At 44.9% G+C, this 24,132-nt stretch overlaps 1 protein-coding gene across 3 annotated transcripts in view; it reads right to left on the bottom strand.

The window, feature by feature from the left end:
- MAGEC3 (MAGE family member C3) overlaps positions 5,185-24,132 on the bottom strand; it is a 59,517-nt gene continuing 40,569 nt past the window's right edge. Inside the window, exons 3-8 of one of the 3 annotated variants that reach the window (NM_138702.1) lie at positions 23,586-23,842; positions 21,221-21,614; positions 7,610-7,748; positions 7,458-7,532; positions 5,531-6,135; positions 5,185-5,388 (exon numbers count right to left, since the gene is read on the bottom strand). In NM_138702.1, the coding sequence (NP_619647.1) occupies positions 5,185-5,388; positions 5,531-6,135; positions 7,458-7,532; positions 7,610-7,748; positions 21,221-21,614; positions 23,586-23,842 (1,674 nt within the window). Of the gene's footprint in view, positions 6,433-6,509; positions 6,587-6,740; positions 6,835-7,457; positions 7,533-7,609; positions 7,749-8,202; positions 8,352-21,220; positions 21,615-23,585; positions 23,843-24,132 lie in introns of those variants that run through there. The other 2 variants (NM_177456.2, XM_011531267.4) reach the window with 2 other exon arrangements.

Here is a 24,132-nt window from a genome sequence, read left to right as displayed (position 1 = left end):
GGGACTGGAGCACGCTAGCGTCTCTCCCTAATGGCCCTGCCCAAGGCCTCCTAGCAGTGAAAACGGGCAGGTTTTTGGGGATCCTCCTGTGTCCGTGGTGGGGTAGCTCACCAGTCCATCCTCTGTATCAGCCTGGGGATGCCTAGAAGGCCCCCCTCCTGATCTTCCGCTCTCATGATCTGAAGTGAGACTCACCTAAGCACAGCCTTCTCCTCTTTCTACACGCTAAGACGTCAGGGGACAGCACTGTGGGTCAACATGCCCCTGGGCCTCCCAGGGATGACAACAGGTGGGGAGCTGGTTTCTGTGGATCCTCTTCTTTGTGGGCAGGAGGTTTCTGCAGTTTTCCCTCAGAGGCCTCATCTGACTACTGGCTGGTCCTGGGTCTTCCTATCCTTCCCAAGATGACAGTATGACACAGGGAAAAAAGTAATGTGACTTTACCCTGAAGAAAACTGACAAACACTAGGTCACCATGGTGATCAAAGTAACATCATCAGTGACAAATTGTGTTGGTATTATGTGCCGTCGGTATGATATGATAAGAATGGCACTTCACTTCTCTGTTCATCTTCCGAGAAAACGTAACCTACATCAAATCATAAAAAATAATCACTTAATTCCCAATCAAAGGCTATTTTACAAAATACCTGACCATACACCTCCAAACTGTCAATGTTTTCAAAATCAAGAGAAGTCTCAGTGAACTGGCACAGCCAAAGGGCATTTAAAGAGACATGATGAACAAGTGTAATGGCGTATCCTCAGGGTATCTTGGGACAGAAAATAGACTTTCGTGACAAGGAAATAAATGTGAATAAAGTATGTTTATTAATAAACAAAGGATGTTTGCATAGGAATAGTACCAGCTCTTCTTTAATAACCACATTTTAACTTCCTTGCCTCTGAGATAATCCCGTCTCCAAATAATGCCACATGTTAATTTCAACATAAGACTTCAGTGGGGGTGCAATTGAATCTATAATAGTGGAAAGGGAAGTGGCAGACCTATATGTATATTATTACCCATGTGTAGTTATAAACACATACATAAGCTCATATATGTATAAATTTTACTTTAAAAACCACATCAATCTTCTCAAAATTCTAAATCAGCTTTTAAATTTAAACACCACACGGTTAATTGTGGAAACTTCTGAATAGGGGGCTGAATTTTGGAGGAACTTTCCAAAAGGGAGAATTGTGATTTCTACCTCTTTTTTTAAGTTTTTGCAACAACAATATATGCAGTATTTATTTGTAAGGAAAGTATTGAAATAAGCCTAAGAAAAGGATGAGGAGCAGTCCAGGAGGCAGATAAAATAACAGTAAGCTCTTGGAACAACAACAAAAAAATCCTTCATTTTTACATGACTCAACACGTTTACTTTTTTGTACATAAATTCTGAATTTAGTTGGCAGGGTATTATGGGCTGAATTTTGAATCTCCCCCAAAATTCATATATCCGTCTTAAAACCCAGTATCCCAGAATGTGACTGTATTTGAAGATAGAAACTTTAAAGAGGTAATTAAGGTAAAATGAGGTCTTAAGGTTAGGCTCATATTCAGTATGACAGGTGTCCTCATAAAAGAGCAGATTAAGATACAGACACACAGACCAAGGAAAAACCATGTAAGAATTTAGTGAGAAAGTGGCCATCAGCAAGCCACGGAGAGGCCAGGGAAGAAATCAAACTGGCCCACATCTTGATCTTAGATATTTAGCCTCCAGAAATGGGAGAAAATTCATTTGTATTGTTTAAGTCACCCCGTCTGTGGTATTCTGTTATGGTATAAGAAACTAATCCACGGCGGGTCCTGGCTTTCACCTCAGCCAGGAATCCAAGCTGCTGTCACCTTATAGCTCCACGTCACAACAGATGTTAAGTGCTGAACGGAAATGAAAGCATGGGAATGATACACTGGCTTCTGTCTAACTACAAATGAACCCGCCAGGAAGGCGAGCTAGACAAGATGGAGATGGGCACTTGCAATCTCTCCCATATGTTATTACGGTGCTCAATGAAAAGCAACTATTATAATTGATGACAGTAAGTGCCTTCATTGCTTGGAATTGTTTCTGGGAATGTCCTCGTAGCCTTGAAATCTTCCAACTTTTTCTTGCACCTACGAGGTGACTGGTGGTTTCAAATTCAGGATTACATCCAGTTTTAAAACAATTCTGTAAGTCTTGGCAGGGAGGGTCTACGTTATTCCCTCAACAGCACTTGGCACTGTCCTTTTTAATAACCTGTATAATTTCTTTAGGCTGAGAATTCTGTCATATTTTTCGTGTACGGTAAATAATCTACCCTGTGAGCCTCTGCTACCCTCCATATGACGGAACATACCTGAACAGCTATACATGGGCCTGTGGCTCACTGCAAGCCAGGATTTTCTTGTGGGGCAGGTACACAGACAAGAGAGAGTGGAAGGATATTTAACTACTGTTTATTTCTCATCAAAACCAGCATGTCCCCCAAAGTATCCTTGTCACCTCCTAAGCAGTCTTCAAGATATTGTTTTGTGTTTTTTAGAAATTCACCTTCTTGTGGATCATTTACAAAGTGACGTCTATAGCCTTTCCTCATCTACAAAGTTTATGAAGGAAAGATTGGCATTTGATCATCTACAAAAGCCTGTTCATCTCTGTTTTCAGTGCCCTGTTTCAAATAATGCATCTCATTAAAATCATACTACAAGTATCAAATATTAGAAAGATTTCAAATAGGCTATTTCTGACCTTAGGATTACATCCCTAAAACCCATATATTATCTGGCAAATCAGATTTTACTCTGCAGCCTGTTTGGTAATACGTTGAGAGTGTGTTGAAGATGCCCAGCCTAGGTATGGAAATGTCACTATCCAAAGCGAATAGTCACATCGAAAGGCCATTATCATAGAGGAACCTGGGGGAGAGATGGATGAGTCAGGGAACTTCTGCAGGCAGTAGGAATGGTCTATCTCAGGGGAAGGCCAGTTGCTTCTAGGTTCTTGCGCTGAGAGTTCAGCAGCCACCTCCAGGCACTCTACACCAGGAGAAATAGGGGCTAGTCTCACATCTATTCTGGTGCACATGTGACTCCTCAGTCCTCACACTTCAGAGGGTGAGACCGTAATGAGAAGTTAGTCAGCAGGCCAGGTTCCAGAGTTGCACAAGAGACCACACAGGGGAGATCAAAAGGAGCTGGGGGGAGCTGCAATGGGAAAAATTGTTGGGCATGGACAAATCTGTCAGCACCTGGACATTCAGCTCTCAAGAAACCTAGGGCTCAGAACAAGAGGACTTTAGGTAAAGAAAGCCAATAATGTTCCCCGAAGTGTATTTTATTCCCATTTGACCTTCCATCTTGTGGCCTAACTTAATACCTTAGCCACACAGTTCATCTTTATTTCACCTCAGAGACATTAACAAGTGTGAAAAGAAGTGACTTAACAGGCAAAGGCCTTCCTCAGGCTGGGAGGAGTGGGGACAGTGTGGGCCTAAATGAATTCAGACCAGGGCTCAAGTCAAAACCTTGTCACATTCTAGCTATGTGGTCTTGGGAATTTATCAAGCATTATGAGCCTTGGGTTCTTCACCTGCAAAATGAGTTTGATAAGCCCTGTCTTATAGAATTGCTGGAGTGTATGTAATGTGAGTAAAACACCTGCCAGAGTGCCTGGCATATGTTGGAATTTTAATAAATGGCAGTTGTTATCAATGATTACCACACCAAAGGTTACCGTCTTTTGTGAAATATTCAGCTCTTAGTTTTGTTATCCATAACATCTCAGAGAATATGTAGGTGAATGCGTCATGGAATACCAGCTTAACCAAAACTTTGGCTTCATAAATAAAACCCAGTACATTTTTTTCTGAAACGGTATATTGTATAATTTGGAAAAGGCAAGGCATCTTCAGCTAGAATGCAACTCAAAGATGCTAGAATTTGAGTCAAACACCAACTCCTTTACACCTTGCCTTTTGCTCATCCTTCCAAACCACTATTTTCATTTGTCCTCCAGTAAAAATCTAGCCCTTGCTTACAGTTGCCCACATTACAATTGAAATAACCTAATTAAATGTCTTTCAATGGAGTAGGCTCTGGTTCTCCCAGGCCAGTCAAATAAGTGCCAGCCTAGAGGCTTCTGAGCAACACTTCAAGGGATTATCGCCCTATGTCTCAGGAAAGCCTTGCAGATGTTGGGTATCAATCACCTAGTTCTTGCACTGTATTCAAGCTCACCAGTTAGACAGCTGCAAGACACCTTCTATTAATTCCCCATGTGGAGACTCCTCTCTTCCTCATCCTACACCAGAAGGAACTGCTCAGAGCAGTTTTCCATTCCAGGTTTTTCTATCACCTTCTGAGGGTCTGGGCCCTGCCACCAACCAGCTTCATAACCATGAGCTCCCACAGAAGCACCTGAAGTTTCCCGAAGGGCAAAACTGCCTTAGCTCTGGGCCTTTTTACTTGAAAGCTCCATCTGGAGTTTCACCTGCCCACTCCTTTTTAAACTTGTTTTTATGATTGTAGAGAGTATCTTACCATGTTCCTGATACAGCTTCTGAACTTAGACTCTAACATTTTATGGGTAGAGATAAGTCTTGGTTTTCATAGTATCCCCACTACTAAGAGCACGCTCCACAAGCAACTGCTCAAATAATGTTTAGCAAATAGTCACTGAAGCTTTTATTTATTAAGATTTAATTTCTGCTACTTTCTCGAATAAGCCACGCAAAGCCAGGTATATATCCTTAATTTGGAAGAACAACAGAGTAACATGATAAGGATATGCAAATATCACATACTTTATTCTGTTCCACCATTTAATTGCAGAGTTATTTCAAATTTTAAAGAAAATTCTTATCTGAACACCATATTATACTGTTTCAGTTCATAAAATAAGACAGATTTTCCCTTTTTTTATGAAATATCAAACTCTTTCTCTTAAATCAGACAAACGGCAATACAAGTGTGAATAATATTCATAAACTAAGATTCTGAAGTGAATTAAAGCAATTGGAAGGAGAAGCATTTGTAAAATATACCCCCCACAAAAAAATGTTAAACTCTTAAGTCACTCATATGAAACAGAAACAAAAACCACTGTGGTCCCTCCGGCTCCACTCTGGACCTCCACTGCCTAGAACCTTGTCTGCCCTCTTCAAACACAGAGGGGGAATCTGCTTCAGACATCACTCAGGACAGAAGTTGGTGGACATGACACTGGGGCTTGCACTGGCCATGGCAGTAGCATCATCTGTGGTGTCAATTATGGCCTGGGCTCTGTCTTCCATATCTTTCAAAGCATCCATGTACCAGGATGGAAAGGCACTAGGGATGATACTGGATAGCTTGGATAAAAACTCTAAGACTTCTCTTGCTGGCCTCTGAATGGGCTCTTGGACCCCACAAAAATTCATAACGTGGAGGAGCACTGTTGGGCACCTCCCGGTACTCCAGGTACTTTCTCTGCACCCAATGTATAGTGAGCAGCTTTCTGGGATCCCCATATATAAAGTGCTCCCTCCCAGCACACACCCCTATTGCACTCAACACTTCCCAGATGACCTCCTCGGGGACACAGCTGCCCTTTATGAAGATCATACTGAGAATAAGAATCAGGAGACAGTTCTTGGGCATGCCCTGGTCATCAATCAGGCTTCCCTCATAGGTGAGGTCTAATGTGTCTTCAAAGAAATAGGAGTGGTTGTCGGGGTCCATATCAGTCAGGGCAATGCCAAAAATTAGCTCTATGAACTCATGGGCTTTCCCGAAGATCATGGGAAAATAGTCCTTATACTTCTTGATGACAGTCGTCAGCATCTCTGCCTTTGTGACAGGCTCTTTTGTTTGATATTTGAGGAGAAGAAACTGCACCAACTCAGCCACCTTTTCATCCAGGGCATACCTGGGCAAGGATTCACTTTCTGGCAAGGCATGCCAAGTAGCTGTATCCTCCTCTTCACTGCTGGACTCCTCATCCAATCGGGTCCACAAAAGAGGGGATGAGCAGGAGTCTAGAGGACTCTGGGGAGGACTCTGCGGAGGACCCTGGGGAGAGATCTTGGGAGGACCCTGGGGAGGAATCTCAGGAGGACTCTGGGGAAGAGGTGGCATCCCAGCAGCAGGCATATCCTCATCTTCTGGAACACCCAGAATGAGAGTAGAGGGTAAGGGTGAGGACAAGGGTGAGGATGAGGACAAGGAAGAGGAGGAGGGGAATAAAAAGTGGAAAGAGGAAGAGGAAGTGGAGGAGGCATCCTCCTCCTCCTCATCTATGGAATCCTGTGCATCTACCAAGTCCTCTGTCACACTCGGGTTCTGGAAGTCTTCCTCAAAGCTGAGGCGTGGAAGGTTTGGAAAGAGAGGCATGAGGCCTGTTGTTCAGGAGCAGCAGGTAAACGTGTGAGCAGGGATGGGGATGATGGGATCCCACAGGCCTGAGGAAGACAGTGACAGTGTGAGTAGCTTCAGCTGAGAAACTCACCTATGATGGTTCTGACAAAGGCTGGCTTACAGCTCTTCTTCTCTTAAGGTGGTGCTCTAGGGCCTCACAGGTCGCCTGTCTTCCTAAGAGGTTTGCTCCCTCAGAACCTGTAGGAGGATGTGAGAAAGCACCTCGGGGCACAGCTGGCAGGCAGAGCCTGAGGCACCAGGAATGGCAGTAGGTGGCTATGGCCAGGTGCTGCCAGGTCTGCTCTGTTTGTGGGGGTAGGGCCCTTGGTACACAGTCAGGGCGTGCACTCACCTTGACTCCTGATATTGCCTGGGCCTCCTCTGCTGTGCTGACTTTAGGAAGTGTGCCTCAGACCCAGGTCTTCAACTCCTGGTTCCTGGAGCACCTGCAAGAGGAAGTGAGGGAGCCCCTCAGGCTAAAGACTGCAAGCAGAGTCTTGGGCCTCCCAAGGCTGACAGCTGGGGCTGACCAGACTCCCAGAGCCCCACAGTTCTGGACTGCATGGTCCCATCAGAATTTAATTAGCATCCTCACCTTTTCTCAGACAGGGCCATGTCCCTACCACTCTTCTGGCCAAAACTCAGGGCAAACTCCACATCCCTGAGAGCAGCGGGAGGTAGCGAGGTGGCAGCCACCTCCCAGCACTCTACCACGGGGGCAGTCGGGGTGGCCTCACGTCTGTTCTGATGCACGTGGGACCTCTCCGTCCTCACTCTTATCACCAGCAGGGCCTGGGAATCTTCCCTCTGCCAACTGGAGGCAACTCTCCCTGCTGACTTGTCATGGAACCCCCCAGACCAAGGCCTCCCCTTCCCCTCCACCCCTCCCCCTCCCCTCCACCCCTCCCCCAGCAATGAGAGGACTGCCGCTCAGCCTGAGCTGACTGAGGAGCTCTACGAGGGCTGATATGAGGAGCAGGGTGGGAATCTCTGGGAAGCTGTCCTCTGAGGTGGGGGTTCCCCCAGTCCTCCTCAATGTCTTCCTATTTATTCCCTAGAGGGCTGGCACCTCCTCCCTTCTTCTGTTGTGGGGACGCCTCGGTCAGCCCTCGGCGGCCATCTTCCTGTCTGTGGCCTGCAAGTCCTATGGCAGCGCAGGGCAGACCGGGGCTTCTTCTGTCCTTGGTGCGAAGTCCCTCAGTTCTCCCTTAGGGCCCTTACCTTGAGGATTGGCCAGGTCTAAGACGCTTCCCTCTGCTGACCTGAGTCCAGACTCCTCGCAAAATGCTTCAGGTCCTTCAGACTCCCACAGTGCAAGTCGGGAAAGCACATCCGCGAACCCTGCCAAGGCTGACCAGGGCTGACAGCAGAGGCAGCGTGGGGTGGGGCCTCCTCTCCATGGAAAAACCACCCCCCACCTCTCCGCCTCCTTCCACCTTTTCCTGACCACTTCCCCGCACTCCACTTCTTCCTGCCCTCCTCAGCGCCCCCCGACCCCTTTGTGCCCACCTCCCTACCCCCTCCCACCCTCCTCCCTGACCCCTTCCTCTCCTTAATGCCCACCTCCCCGCCCCTTCCCACCCTTTCCTGTTCACCTACTGCCCCCTTTCACCTTTTATTGCCCATATTCCCACCACTCCCACTCCTTCCTGCCCACTTTCCCACTCCCTCCCACCTTTTCCTACCCACCTCCCAACTTCCTCCCACCCCTTCGGGCCTACCAACCTGCCCCCTCCCACCCCTTCTTGCCTACCTCCCCACTCCCACCTGTTCCTGTCCACTTCCCTGCCCTTCGCCCACCTCTCCCTGCCCACCTCTCCGTTTTCACCTCTCCATCTGTTTTGTCCAGGGGTGACAGCAAGGAGTGGCTGGGCGACGCCTGGGCCTTCCCTCCGTGTTGGGAGATAGCTATCCTTCCACAGAGTTCCCTTCTTGCTTGTTGGCCAGCCCCGGGGCTCCTTTCTCTGCTTAACTGAAGCTGCCCCGTGTCTGAAATGAGGTGGGAAGGCCCCTCAGTCTTCCTCAAGGTTTTACTCCTTCCAGGGCCGGCACTCCCCCCTTCTCCTGTCCCGACAGCAACAGTTGTTCTGTCATCCTCTAAAATCCATTCCAAAACCTTCTACTTTAAGTACTACCGTGTGTGAAGTTAATAGAATCTCTCTCCTGACCTATGTCAAAGGCTCCCTTAGTTTTCTTCTTTCCCTATCCTTGTCCCAGAAAAATCCATTGTCTTTTCAGCAGCCTGTGCGTGATCTTTTAAAAAAATTATTTTTAACATTTTATTAATTTAATGTCATTAATTTTTATTATAATTTTTATTAATTTTTAAAATACACTCATCAGATTTAACTATTATGTGAAATTATATGTATTTTAGCAAATGCGTGGAGTTCCATATCTACGAACCAAGTGTCACACTGACCAGTTCCATCACCCGAAAAGTCCCCTGTGCATCTCTTTTGAGGTCAGTCAAGGCACTTCTCCAAAGACTCTAGCAACTATGCTCTGTTTGCAGTTCATATAGTTTTAACTTTCACAATTTGTCATATGAGTAGGTCCACAAAACATGGATTTAAAAGTCTGGCTGCATCATTTTTCATCTCAACTAGCAAGGAATGAGAATTCCTCTTGTTGCATATCCCCTCTTCCATTTAGTATTTTAGATTTTCAGATTTCAGCCATTCTAATAAGCCTGTATTTGAATCTCCTTTGTTTTTTGTTTGCATCTTCCTAATGACAAATGACGTTGGTCATCTTTTTATATGCCTTTTCCTGATTGGTATATTCTCTTCAAATCATTTGTGTCTTTTTAAAAACTAATAGACATCATTTTTAGAGCATTGCTAATCCAAAAATACAGAGAGAAAACTTCATCAAAGTTACAGAGTTCTCACATATCTACGCCCCCCCCCCCAATTCCTGCCCTCCTGCCCTGCCCTATGCACGCACACAGACACACACACACACACACACACACACACACACAGTGTCTCCTATTATTTATATTTTGTATTATTATGGCATGTTTGCAACAACTGATGGACCTGTATTGATACCTCATTATTAGGTCAAGTCCACAGTTTACATCAGGAATCACTCAACGTTGGGGATGCTGTAGGTTTTGATAAGTGTGTAATGGTGAGTATTCATCATTACAGTATCACACAGACTTGTTACACCATTTTAAATCTCTTGTGTGCTCCACCTATCAATCCCCCTTGCCCCAACCCTAACTCCTCAGCCTCCGGAAACCACTGATATTTTTAGTGTATTCATAATGAACTGTTTCTAAATATTGTATGATTGGAATCATACATTATGTAGCCTTTTAAGATTTTCTTCTTTCACTTAGCCTTATGCTTTTATGATTCCTCCAGGTCTGTCCTACTAACAATGACTGAAAGCTCCTGTTGCTCAACATACAGGTCAACATTTGATGTTTCAGTGTTTTGGACGTCAGCCATTCTCCTGGGTGTAGAGCGCTATCTCCTAGGTGCTTTAATTTGCACTTCTCTAAAATGCCATATGACATTGAACTCTTTAATATGCTCATTTTAAATTCCTATATATTCATTGTTTGTGTACTTATTTATAGTTTTTGTCCACTTTAAATTGGGTTTTCTGTTTTCTTATGATTGGGTTTTCAGCGTTTTGTGCATATTTAAATATACATCTTTTATCAGATATGTGTTTCACAAAACTTTTATGCCAGTCGCTGGCTTGTCTTTTCAAGATCTTAACAGTGACTTTTCAGAGCAAAAGTTTTTAGTTTTAATTAAGTCCAATTTATCTCTTTTTTCTTAGGTAGCTGGTACTTTTAGTGTTGCATCTGAAAAAGCCGTCATCAAAACCAAGGTTACCTAGGGTTTGCACCCATAAGTTTAACCAAATTTTGGTGTTACATCTAAAAAAGTCATCACCAAACCCAAAGTCACCTAGGGTTTGCCCCCATAAGTTTGACAAACATTTAAAACTCTGATAAAATGTGTTTGTGAATAAATGAATCATTTCCCCATAGACAATTATGGGGAATAATAATAATCATTATTATTAAATAATAATAATTTCCTCTGTTAATGTGAGAGAATTAATTGGTGAAATATTTTAGGAAAAAAGTCAGTAACATTTAAAAAATAGAAAATATTCATACTGACTCAGTTTCCTCATTAAAATGCATTCCTTATAAGTAATTATATGTACTTGTCCCAGAATTTATGCTCAGAGATGTTGATTTTATTTACATGAATTATAGCCACAAAAGATAAACATATATTTGTCTGTCAGAAGATTTGTTCAATTCATTATTGCACAGAAATAAACTGGAATTCTAGGAAGTAGTTGCAAAAGTAAGATAGATTTATTAACATTTGTGCTGTCATGGAACGATCTTGGATCCATTTCAATAAATGATTATATTGGCATGTTAGGGGTGCCATAGCAATGTACCACAGCCTGGATGACATAAACAACGGAAATATATTGTCTCACAGTTTTGGAGTCTGGTAGTCAAAAAGCAAGGTGTATACAAGGTTGACTCCTTCTGAGGGCTGTGATGAAAAGTTATATTCCAGGCCTCTCTCCTTGCCTTGTAGATGGCTGTCTTCAGTCCAAGTATGCTGACATTATCATCCTTCTACTCATATCTCTATGTCCAAATTTCCCCTTTTTAAAATGACTCCCATCATATTTGATTAGGGCCAGCATTAATAACCTCATTTTAACTTGATTGCCTCTGAAATAATCCTATCTCCAAATAATGTCACGTTTTTAATTTCAAGATAGAACTTTAGGGGAATGCAATTGAACCTATCAGAGTGGCAAAGGCAAGTGGCATATTTACATGTATGTCATTACTCATGTTTTGTTATATTTATACACACATATATAAATATATGCATATATAAATATATATATTTATATATGCATATATAAATATATATATTTATATATGCATATATATATACACACACACATTACCACATCTATCTTTTAAAAACTTGAAATTAGCTTTTAAAATTTACACACCACATTGTGGAAAGTTCTGAGTAGGGGGCTGAATTTTGGAGGAACTTTGCAGAGGAGAGAATTGTGATTTCCATGTATTTTTATCATTTTTTTTGCAACAATAATATATGCAGTATTTATTTGTAAGAAAAGCATTAAAGTAAGCCTAATAAAAGGAAGAGGAGCAGTGTAATAGTCAGATAAAGTAACAGTGAGCTAATGGAATGAAAACATTTCCTGAAATTTAAATGATTTAACACAACAAGTTTATTTTTGTGCATAGAAATTCTGATTTTAGTTGGCAGGGTGTTATGGGCCGAATTATACCCCTTCCTCAAAATGCACACATACAAAGTCACTGCATTTGGACATAGAGCCTTTGAAGAGGTAATTAAGGGGAAATGAGGTTTTATGGTTAGGATCTTATTCAATATGACTGGCGTCTTCACAAGAAGAGGAGATTAGGATACAGACACACGGAAAGAGGGACAATCATGTAAAAATTCAGCGAGAAGGTGGCCATCTGCAAGCCAAAGAGAGCCCACAGAAGAATTCAAACCAGTCAACATCTTGATCTTGGATTTTTTAGCCTCCAGAAATGTGAATAAATACATTTCTATTGTTTAATCACACAGTCTGTAGTATTTAGTTATGGAATAATAAACTAATCCATAGCGGATCATGGCTCTCACGTCACCCAGGAATCCAAGCTGCTTTCACCTTGCAGTTCCACATCACAACAGATGTTAACTGCTGAACAGAAATGAAAACATTGGAATGATATACTGGCTTCTATCTAACTACAAATGAACCAACCATAAAGACAGGGTATACAAGATGGAGATGGGCGCTTGTGTTCTCTCCCATAAGCTGTTGCTCAATTAAAAGCAACTGTTATAATTTATGATAGTAAGTCTCCTCATTTTTGGAATTGTTTCTGGGAATGCCAACATTACCTTGAAATATTTCAACTTTTTCTTGCACCTACTAGGTGACTGGAGGTTTCAAATACAGAATTGCATCTAGGTTTAAAACAATTTTAGATGTCTTGGCAGGGACGGGCAACCTTATTTCTCAACAGCACTTTTCTGCACTGTCCTTTTAACAATCAATATAGGCCAGGTGTGGTGGGGCTCATGCCTGTAATTCCAGCAGTTTGGGAGACTGCGGCGGGCAGATCACTTGAGGTCAGGAGTTTGAGACCAGCCTGGACAACATGGTGAAACCCCTGTTTCTTCTAAAAAATACAAAAATTAGCTGGGCTTGGTGGCACGCACCTGTAGTCCCAGCTACTTGGGAGGCTGATGCAGGAAAATCACTTGAACTCGGGAGGCAGAGTTCGCAGTGAGCCGAGTTCACACCACTACACTCCAGCCTGGGTGACAGAGCGAGACTCTGTCTCAAAAAATAAAAATAAAAATAACCAATATGTATTAGTCAGGGTTCTCTAGAGGGACAGAACTAATAGGACAGATGTACATATTAAGGGGAGTTTATTAAGGGAGTTAATACAACTCTCCTTCATACAACCAGAAATGCACCGATCCCCAATCCAAATGCTATTACATAAAGTTAACACACTTAAATGCTGATATGAAGTCAACACATCTTATGTCACATGATAAAGGAAAATAAGAAATAAAATAAAGATATTTTCTTAGTACAAGTGTGTACACGCACAAACATGTTTTTAACTAAAGAAAAGAAGGAGAAAATACTCATGACAATTACAGTCCTCGTTTCTGCAACTGGTCATGTGGTCGTAGCTGGTATTGATGACTACCTTCTTCTACTACCCATTCTGTATTCCATTTGCTTTCAGCAAACCCCTTGGCAGGCTGTGGATTTTTTTCCTGGTGGAGTGAACCAAACCTTCATTCCTGAAGGTTCTGGGCCATTGGTAGTCCTACCTGGATTGGGCTGTTGTAGTTTCCCATTGACCTTAATCACAGGGCATGGTAATACTAAGAGATGCCCTAATGGATCTCCTGTATTCCTTGCATACTCTTTCTCACCTCCCTTGCAGAGTAGTGGATTGATTTCATCTTGATAGCCCGGGTCAATCACCCCAGCAAACACTGTAACTCCTTTCTTAGCCTGTTTGCTTAAAAGTAGGACGAGCCCAGAGTGTCCAGGTGACAACCTTATTTTCCAGTTTAATGGAATCATTGTTGTGTCTCCTGGCGGCAGCGTTTCTCCCTCTGGAAATAAGACCTCTAGGCCACCAGAATGTAATGTCATGGGAATAGGAAGCAAAAGTGTTGCTAGTGGGTCCCTAGGGGTGATGGTGAGTGGTGTTTCCACCCCTTGATTCCTGGACTCACGAATCCTGACTATGGGAGAAACAATACCATATATTGAACACTGATTCAGAGCATACAGGGCCTTCTGGAGAACTTTGTCCCAGCCCTGCAAAGTATTGTCACCTAGTTGGCATTGTAACTGTGACTTCAAAAGGCCATTCCACTGTTCTATCAATGCAACTGCTTCAGGACGATGGGGAACATGGTAAGATCAGCGAATTCCATGAGCATGAGCCCACTGTCACACTTCTTTAGCCATAAAGTGAGTGCCTTGGCCAGAGGCAATACTGTGTGGAATACCATGACGGTGAATAAGGCATTCTGTGAGTCCACAGATGGTAATCTTGGCAGAAGCACTGTGTGCAGGACAGGCGAACCCATATCTGGAATAAGTGTCTGTTCCAGTGAAGACAAACTGCTGCCCTTTCCATGATGGAAGAGGTCCAATATAATCAACTTGCTACAAGGTAGCTGGCTGATCATCCTGAGGAAAGGTACCATATCGAGGGCTCAGTGTTGGTCTCTGCTGCTGGCAAGTTGGGCACTCAGTAGTGGTCATGGCTAGGTCAGTGTTGGTGAGTGCAAGTCCATGTTGCAGAGCCCATGCATAACCTCCATCCATGCCACTATGGCCACTTTGTTCATGGGCCTATTGGAAGATGACAGGGATGGCTGGGGAAAGAGGCTGAGTGGTGTCCACAGAACGGCTCATACTATCCACTTGATTATTAACATGCTCCTCTGCTGAGGTCACCCATTGGTGAGCACTCACATGGCATACAAATATCTTCACAGTTTTTGACCACTCAGAAAGGTCCATCTGCATACCTTTTCACCAAATTTCTTTGTCACCAATTTTCCAATCATGCTTCTTCCAAGTCCCTGACCTTCCAGCCAAACCATTGGCTACAGCCCATGCATAAGTATATCATCGCACATCTGGCCACTTCTCCTTCCATGCAAAGTGCAAAACCAGGTGCACTGCTCGAAGTTCTGCCCACTTAGAAGTCCCTTCACCACTGTCCTTCAGGGATGTCCTAGAAAGGGGCTGTAGTGCTGCAGCTGTCCACTTTTGGATGGTGCCTGCATATCGTGCCCTAGCTTTCTCTTCCTCCATCAACTGATCATAGGGAACTGTCCACGGGGCCATCAGTGCAGGCTGGGGGAGAGAAGGCAGGGTGGCAGGGGTGGAGACCCTGGGCATTTGTGCCACTTCCTCATGTAACTTACTTGTGTCTTCAGGACCTGCTCAAGCCCAATCACATATACACTATTTCCATTTGATGATGGAATGCTGCTGTGCATGACCCATTTTATGGCTAGATGGGACAGAAAGCACCCAGTTCATGATAGGCAGTTCAGGTTGCATGGTGATTTGATGACCTACAGTCAAATATTCAGTTTCCATGAAAGCCCAGTAACAGGCCAAGAGCTGTCTCTCAAAAGGAGAGTTGTTATCTGCAGAAGATTGAAGGGCCTTGCTCCAAAATCCTAGAGCCCCCTGCTGTGATTCACCAATGGGGGCCTGCCAAAAGGTTTAAACAGCATCCCTATCCGCCACTGATACCTCAAGCAGCATTGGATCTGCTGGATCATATGGCCCAAGTGGCAGGGCAGCTTGCACAGCAGCCTGGACCTGTTGCAGAGCCTTCTCCTCTTCTGAACCTCACTCAAAACTGGCAGCCTTTTGGGTCACTCGATAAGTGAACCAGAGTAACACACCCAAATGAGGAATGTGTTGCTTTCATAATCCAAATAGGCCCTCTAGGCATTGTGCCTCTTTCTTGGAGGGGCCTCATGCAGCAACTTATCCTTCACCTTATAAGGAATATCTCAACTGCCCCCACACCACTACACCCCTAGAAATTTGACTGAGGTAGAAGGTCCCTGAATTTTAGTCAGATTATTTCCCATCCTCTGGAATGCAAATGTCTCACCAATAAGTCCAGTGTGTTTGCCACTTCTCGCTCACTGGATCCAATCGGCATAATGTCATCAATGTAGTCGACCAGTGATCTTGTGTAAGGGAAAATCGATCAAGGTCTCTCCTAATAAGATTATGACACAAAGCAGGAGAGTGGATGTACCCCTGAGGTATGACGGTAAAGGTATATTGCTGGCCTTGCCAGCTGAAGGCAATTTGCTTCTGGTGGGACTTATGGACAGGAATGGAGAAAAAGGCATTTGCCAAATCAATGGCTGCATCCCAGGTATCAGGAGATGTGTTAATTTGCTCAAACAATGAAACCACATCTGGTACAGCAGCTGCAATTGGAGTCACCACTTGGGTAAGCTTACGATAATCCACTGTCATTCTCCAAGATCCAACTGTCTTCTGCACAGGCCAAATGGGAGAGTTGAAGGGGGATGTGGTGGGAATCACCACCCCTGCGTATTTCAGTTCCTCGATGGTGGCACTCATCTCCACAATCCCTCCAGGGATGCGATATTGTTTTTGATTTATTATTTTTCTAGGTAGAGGCAGCTCTAATATCTTCCACTTGGCCTTTCCCTTCCCTTCATAATAGCCCTTCATAATAGCCTTTCCCTTCATAATAGCCCTCACCCTCCCAGTCAGGGAGCCAATGTGGGGGTTCTGCAAGCTGCTAAGTATGTCTATGCCAATTATACATTCTGGCACTGGGAAAATGGCCACAGGATGAGTCCGGGGACCCACTGGATCATCTGTAAGTCCAAGCTGAGCTAAATATTTATTAACTATCTCACCTCCAAAAGCCCCTACTTTAACTGGAGGACCAAAATGTCATTTTGGGTCCCCTGGAATCAATGTCAGCTCAGAGCCAGTGTCCAGTAGTCCCGAAATGTCCAATTATTTCCCTTTCCCCAGTGCACAGTTACCCTAGTAGAAGGCCAGAGGTGTCCTTGGGGAAGGATGGGAGAAAGATTAACAGCATAAATTGTTGATAGTGTAGTGGAGTCCTTCCTCAAGGGGACCCAGCCTCCCCTTCATTCAGGGGGTTCTGGGTCTGCAAACTGGCTCAAGTCTGGAAATTGAGGGGCCGTTATTCTCTGTTTTTATAATTTGAATCAGTTTTTTGTCCACTTAACATGGAAGTTTTCTGCTTGTATAAATTAAGTAGGAATGCAGTAGGCTTCCTATCAATTTCACTTCTAGAAATACTGTGATTAATCAGCCAATGCCAGAGCTCTACAGGAGTCAAACTATTCTGATTGCTGCTTTGCCTCTGCTGTCCATTATGGTAGCTATACCCGCCTTGCCTTTGATGGTCGAGTGCTGCCACTTGACCCCTGCACCTCGGGATACAATTATTCCCATTGCATTTAAATTTTTTAGTTGAGTGACTACAATTCCCACTGTTAGATCTGGCATACAGAGAAGACCAATCCCTGCAGATCTCTTCAAAGATGCAGGTGCTGCCCTCACAAATCTGTTTCACAAAGGATTGGTCAAGGGTGTATCTTCTGGACCCTCTCAGCTGGGATGAGTAGGTCTAAAATGACTAATCCACTCCAGCCTCCCAATTTCCCTAAGCATTTGGATCCCTTCCTCTACATTAAACCAAGGCAAGAAATCAGGCATTTCCAGATTACTCACAGTGGGCCATCTTTTAATCCATATTTCAGCTAGCCAAGCAAGTACACTATTAGAACTTTTTTTTTTTTTTTTTTTTTTTTTGAGACGAAGTCTCACTCTGTCACCCAGGCTGGAGTGCAGTGGCACGATCTTGGCTCACTGCAACCTCTGCCTCCCGGGTTCAAGCAATTCTCTGCCTCAGCCTCTTGAGTAGCTGGGATTACAGGCGCGCACCACGATGCCCAGCTAATTTTTGTATTTTTAGTAGAGACGGGGTTTCACTATCTTGGCCAGGCTAGTCTTGAACTCCTGACCTCATGATCCACCCGCCTCAGCCTCCCAAAGTGCTGGGATTACATGCATGAGCCACTGCGCCCGGCCTTAGAACCTTTTTTAACTCCCCAAGCTGCAACATTAAATGCAGAATCCCTACTTAGTGGACCCAAATCAATAAATTCAGTCTGATTAAACTCTGTGTTCCTTCCACCATTATCCCACACCCTTAATATCCATTCCCATGCCTGTTCTCCAGATTTCTGCTTATATAAATTAAAAAACTCAAGCAGTTCTTTTCGAGTGTAATGCACCTCCTCACGGGGTCATACTCTGAACTTCACCTCTAGGCGCCCGCCAGGACTTTAGTCTAGTTATAGGTCTAGAAAACAACAGGGATTTTGGGGGTGGGTCCTGAGAAGAAGCAACACTATCTTGCCTGGCAACTGCCTCAGAGGAGGCCATCACTGTTGACTCAGGCAGCACAGGGTTTATCTCCTCAGACAAAGGTGGAAATTTCAGGTCTTTCTCTACAGGAGATAAGACTCTCACTCAGGGCAATCCTAGCAGATTTGAGGCTCAGTATCTGCTTCTGGAGCCAGGAGTCAGAATCCCTGAGTTCATCATTTTCTTTCATCCCTTTGTCCAGTGCATTTAGGAGCAACCAACCAACTTCATTATGTTCCTTGATTCTCCACATATGGTCAAAGGTATTAAATATAGGGTCACTAAACTTTTTTCTCACAAGCAGTTAATCAGGAGTGTCAAATGCATTTATTTTGCATAATTCTCTAAACAGTTCACGCCAAAGGCTATCGGTGTTCTCCACGCCATTAGAATTAGAGTCCTTAGCATTTTTGGGTCTAATCACATTAAGCATCCAACTCCAGAAACCCCAAAACCAATGAAAGACCTCCATCCTTAATATTCTGTTTCTCTAGAACCACTCCTGGTACAAAAATCTGTATTACTCAGGGTTCTCTAGAGGGACAGAACTAATAGGATAGAGGTATATATAAAGGGGAGTGTATTATGGAGTTTATTAACTCCCATGATCGTGAGGTCCCACAATAGGCCATCTGCAAGCTGAGGAGCAAGGAAGCCAGTCCGAGTCCCAATGCTGAAGAACTTGGAGTCTGATGTTAGAGGGCAGGAAGCATCCAGCACAGGAAAAAAAAGTGTAGGCTGGGAGGCTAAGCCAGTCTAGCCTTTTTACATTCTTCTGCCTGCTTTTTATTCTGGTCCTACTGGCAGCTGATTAGATTGTGCCCATGCAGATTAAGGGTGGACCTGCCTTTCCCAGCCCACTGACTCAAATGTTAACCTCCTTTGGCAACACCCTCACAGACAAACCCAGGAACAATACTTGCATCCTTCAATCCAATCAAGTTGACACTCAGTATTAACCATCACACAATACAATCTCTTTAGACTGAGAATTCTCTCACTGCTTTTGGTATACGGTAAATATCCTACCATGAGAGATTCTAATACCCTCTACATGACTGAACATTCCTGAACAGCTGTACATGTGCCTGTGGCACACTGCAAACCAAGATTTTCCTGTGGGGCAGGTACACAGAAAAGAGACAATGGAAGGATGGTTAACCATAATTTTCTTTTCTCATCAGAGCTAGCCTGTCTGTCAAGGAACACTTGTCACCTTCTAAGCAGTATTAAGGATTTTGTTATTGTTCTGTTTTTAGAAATTCAGCTCCTTGTAATTTATTTACAAAGTGATTTCCAAAATTTTATCTCATATACCAAGTTTATGAAGGAAGCTTTGCTTTTTGACCACCTGGTATAGCTCATTCATCTGTGTATCTCTTCAGTGGCCTGCTTCAAACAATGTTACTACAAATATCATATATTAAAATCCCAATACAAATATCAAATATTAGGATGATCTCAAAAACTCTATCTCTTACCCTAAGATTACATCCCTAGAACCAGTATATTATGTGGCAAATCAGATTCTACTCACCACCCTATGTGGGAGTATTTTGAGAGTGTTTGAAGATGCCCAGGATAGATATGGAATTGTCACTATCCAAACTGAAAATTTACATCAAAGTGCTGAATTTGAATCAAGGACCAACTCCTTTTCACCTTCCCCTTTGCTCATCCATCCAAACAACTATTTCTATTTATCCTCCACTAAAAATCTAGCCCTTGCTTACAGTTGCCCACATTACATTTAAAATAACCTAATTAAATGACCTTTCAATGGAATGGACTCTGGCTCTCCCAGGCTAGGAAAATGAGTGCCAGCCTAGAAGCTTCTGGGCAGCATTTCAAGGAATTATCGCCTTATTTCTCAGGAAACACTTGCAAATGATGGGTATCAATCACCTAGTCCTTGCACTGTGTTCAAGCTCACCAGTTAGAGAGCTGCAAGACAGCTTCCATTACTTCCCCACATGGAGACTCCTCTCTCCCTCATCATCCACCCAGAAGGAACTGCTCAGAGCAGTTTTCCATTGCAGGCTTTTCTCTCACCTTCTGAGAGTCTGGCCCCTGCCACCACCCAGCTTCATAACAATCAGCTCCCACAGAAGCACCTGCAGTTTCCCGAAGCCCCACACTACCTTAGCTCAGGGACTTTATACTTGAAGACTCCATCTGGAGTCTCACCTCCCCACTTTTTTGAAACTTATGATTGTAGAGAGCATCTTACCACCTTCTTGACATGGCTTCTGCTCCTAGACTCTATTGTTTTATAGGTAAGGCATAACTCTTGCTTTTCACTGTATCCCCACTATTAAGAGTCCCCTCCGCAAGCAAATGCTCACAGAATGTTAGGCAAATAAAGCCGTCAGAGATGCTTTTATTTATTAACATTTAATTTCTGCTACTTTCTTGAATGAGCTAAGCAAAGCCAGGTCTATTTCTTTAATTTTCAAGAACAACAGTATAAACGGGATAAGGAAATGTAACTATTCACCATCCTTTATTTCGTTCCACTATTTAACTGCTGAGTTCTTACATAATTTAAAGAAAATTCCTAGTACAATACCATGTTATCCTGTTATAGATCACAAAATAAGAGACAAGCTTTTTCCATTTTTTTTTACAAAATATCAAACTGTTACTCTTAAACTAGATAAACAGCAATATATGTGTGACTAATATTTATAAAATAATATTCTGAAGCTAATTCAACCTACTATTAAAAGGAAAATCATTCAAAAAGTACACAAAAGGAAACGAGGTAAATCTATCTCTCCCATATGGAACAGAAATGCAAAGAACACTGTATTGTTCCCTCAAGCCCCACCCGGGCCCTCCACTACCTAGGACCCTGACTGCCCTCTTCAAACACAGACGTAAGAAACGGCCCTATACTTCACTCAGGACAGGAGAAGTTTCTGGAGATGACACGGAACCTTGCACTGGCCATGGCAGTAGCATCATTTTTGGTGTCAATTATGGCCTGGGCTCTGTCTTCCACATCTTTCAAAGCATCCTTGGAAGAGATTGGAAAGGAACTAGAGACGGTATTGTTTCACATGACCAAAATCTCACTACTTTCCTCTTGCTAGTTTCTGAATGGGCTCTAGGACCCCACAGGAATTCATAACGTGGAGGAGCACTACTGGGCACATGTCGCTACTCCAGGTAATGTCCCTGCACTCAAACTTTAGTGACAAGCTCCCTGGGCTCCCGATAGACGAAATGCTCCCTCTGAGCACACACCCCTATTGCATTCAGCACTTCCCAGATGACCTCCTCAGATGCACAGTTGCCCTTTATGAAGATCACACTCAGAATAAGAATCAGGAGGCGGTTCTGGGGCATGCCCTGCTCATCACTCAGACTCCCCTCACAGGTGAGGTCTAATGTGTTTACAAAGACATAGAAATGGTCGGGGTCCACTTCTGTCAGGGAAATGCCAAAAAGAATCTCTATGAACTCACGGGCTTTCCTGAAGATCATAGGAAAGTAGCCCGTGTATGTGTTGATGACATTCATCTGCATCTCTGCTCTTGTGAGAGGCTCTTTTGCTTGATATTTGAGGAGAAGAAACTGCACCAACTTGTCCACCTTTTCATCCAGTGTATAAGTGAACAAGGGCTCGCTCTCTGGCAAGCTGTGCCAGGTACTTGTATCTTCATCTTATTGGCTGCTAGGCTCTTCATTGAATGGGCTTCATAAAGTGGAGGAGGAGCAGGACAGGGAACCCTGGAGAGGACCCTGGGGAGGACTCTCAGGAGGATTCTGGGGAAGAGGCAGCATCCCAGCAGACAGCTACTCCTCCTCCTCCTCATGAGCACCAAGAATCAGAGTAGAGGATGAGGAGGAGGAGGAGGAGGAAGAGGAGAAAGAGGAGGAGAAGGAGGAAGAAGAGAAGGAAGAGGAGGGGAATAATAAGTAGAAAGAGGAAGAGGAAATGGAGGAGGTTTTCTCCTCTTCCTCCTCTGTGGAATCCTGTGCATCTGCCAAGTTCTCTATCACAGTTTGGTTCTGGAAGTCTTTCTCAAAGTTGCCGCTAGGAACATTTCAAAACACAGGCATAACGTCTTCCTTAGGAGCAGGAGGTAAATGTGTGAGCAGGGATGTGGATGATGGCATCCAACAGGCCTGAGGGAGAGAGGGACACTGCAAGTGGCCTCAGCTGAGAAACTCACCCATGGTGGTTCTGACAAAGGCCGGCTTACAGCTCTTCTTCTCTTAAGGTGGTGCTCTAGGGCCTCACGGGTCACCTGCCATCCTAGGGGGTTTGTCCCCTGGGAACCTGTAGGAGGATGTGAGAAAGCACCTCGGGGCACAGCTGGCAGGCAGAGCCTGAGGCACCAGGAATGGCAGTAGGTGGCTATGGCCAGGTGCTGCCAGGTCTGCTCTGTTTGTGGGGGTAGGGCCCTTGGTACACAGTCAGGGCGTGCACTCACCTTGACTCCTGATATTGCCTGGGCCTCCTCTGCTGTGCTGACTTTAGGAAGTGTGCCTCAGACCCAGGTCTTCAACTCCTGGTTCCTGGAGCACCTGCAAGAGGAAGTGAGGGAGCCCCTCAGGCTAAAGACTGCAAGCAGAGTCTTGGGCCTCCCAAGGCTGACAGCTGGGGCTGACCAGACTCCCAGAGCCCCACAGTTCTGGACTGCATGGTCCCATCAGAATTTAATTAGCATCCTCACCTTTTCTCAGACAGGGCCATGTCCCTACCACTCTTCTAGCCAAAACTCAGGGCAAACTCCACATCCCTGAGAGCAGTGGGAGGTAGTGAGGTGGCAGCCACCTCCCAGCACTCTACCACGGGGGCAGTTGGGCTGGCCTCACATCTGTTCTGATGCACATGTGACTCCTCAGTCCTCACTCTTATCCCCAGCAGGGCCTGGGAATCTTCCCTCTGCCAACTGGAGGCAGCTCCCTGTGCTGATTTGCCACGGGACCCTCAGACCAAGGCCTTCCCTTTCCCTGCACCTCTCACCCAGCAATGAGAGGGCTGCCGCTCAGCCTGAGCTGACTGGGGAGCTCTACGAGGGCTGATATGGAGGAGCATGCTGGGAATCTCTGGGAGTCTGTCCTCTGAGGTGGCGTTTCCCCTTGTCCTTCTCAAAGTCTTCCTATTTATTCCCTAGAGAGCTGGCACCTCCTCCCTTCTTCTGTCATGAAGACGTGTCCCTCAGCCCTCGGTTACCCTCTTCCTGTCTGCGACCTACAATCTCACAGCAGGTAGAGGGCAGGCAAGAGCTTCTTCTTTCTGTGGTGGGAGGTCCCTCAGTTCTCCCTTAGGGCCCTTACCTTGAGGATCGGCCAGTTCTAAGAGTCTTCTGTCTGCTGATCTCAATTAAGCCTTCTCACAAAATGCCTCAAATACTTCAGACTCCCAGTGGGGCTAGGTCTCCTCTCTATGGAGGAACCACCCCTCACCTCTCTACCTCTTTCCCACACTTTCCTGACCACCTCCCGGCCCTTCTCCACCCCTTCCTGCCCATCTCCTGGGCCCCCTCCACCCCTTCCTGCCTACCTCCCCGACCCTTTCCACCCCTTCCTGCCCACCTCTCGGTATCCCTCCACCTTTTCCTCCTCACTTCAAAGCCCTCGTCCATATTTCCCTGCCCACCTCCCCGCTTTCTCCCCCCACAACCTTTTTCCAGGGCTGACGGCAGGAAGGGAAAGGGTGTAGCCTGTGCCTCTCCTCCATGTTGGAAGGTCACTGTCCTTCCACAGAGTTCTCTTCTCGTTGAGTGGCCAGTCCTGGGGTTCCTCCCTCTGCTTAACTGAAACTGCCCTCCTCAGAGAAAACTTCCCCTCCGGCTGACTCCCAAAATGCAAGTCAGAAAGTTGTAAACCTGGGGACCCTGATAGGGTCCTCCAGAGCTGGCAGCAGGCACAGGGACAGGGGAGGGGCACTACCAGTCATGGGTGTTCCCTTCCTGCCTTCCCGAGAGGCTGTGCCTGGACTCCTGGAAACCGCCTGGCCTTCCTGCCTCTGTGCAACTGAGTCTTTCACCTCCGAATAAGCCCCTCCCATCCCTGAGACCTGCAAGGTGCAAGAGAGGGAGAATCACATCCACCCACAGTGGGGTGGGGCCTCCCAGGCCCAAGGCAGGACTCTGGTGTCCTTTTTCTAAAATGGGGTGGGCAGGACTCTCTGTTTTCCTGCAGTT

This window comes from Homo sapiens, chromosome X, assembly GCF_000001405.40.
Source record: "Homo sapiens chromosome X, GRCh38.p14 Primary Assembly".
Lineage (NCBI taxonomy): Eukaryota > Metazoa > Chordata > Mammalia > Primates > Hominidae > Homo > Homo sapiens.
The sequence above is the reverse complement of the archived record's forward strand: the minus strand, read 5'-3'. Positions and strand labels throughout refer to the sequence as shown.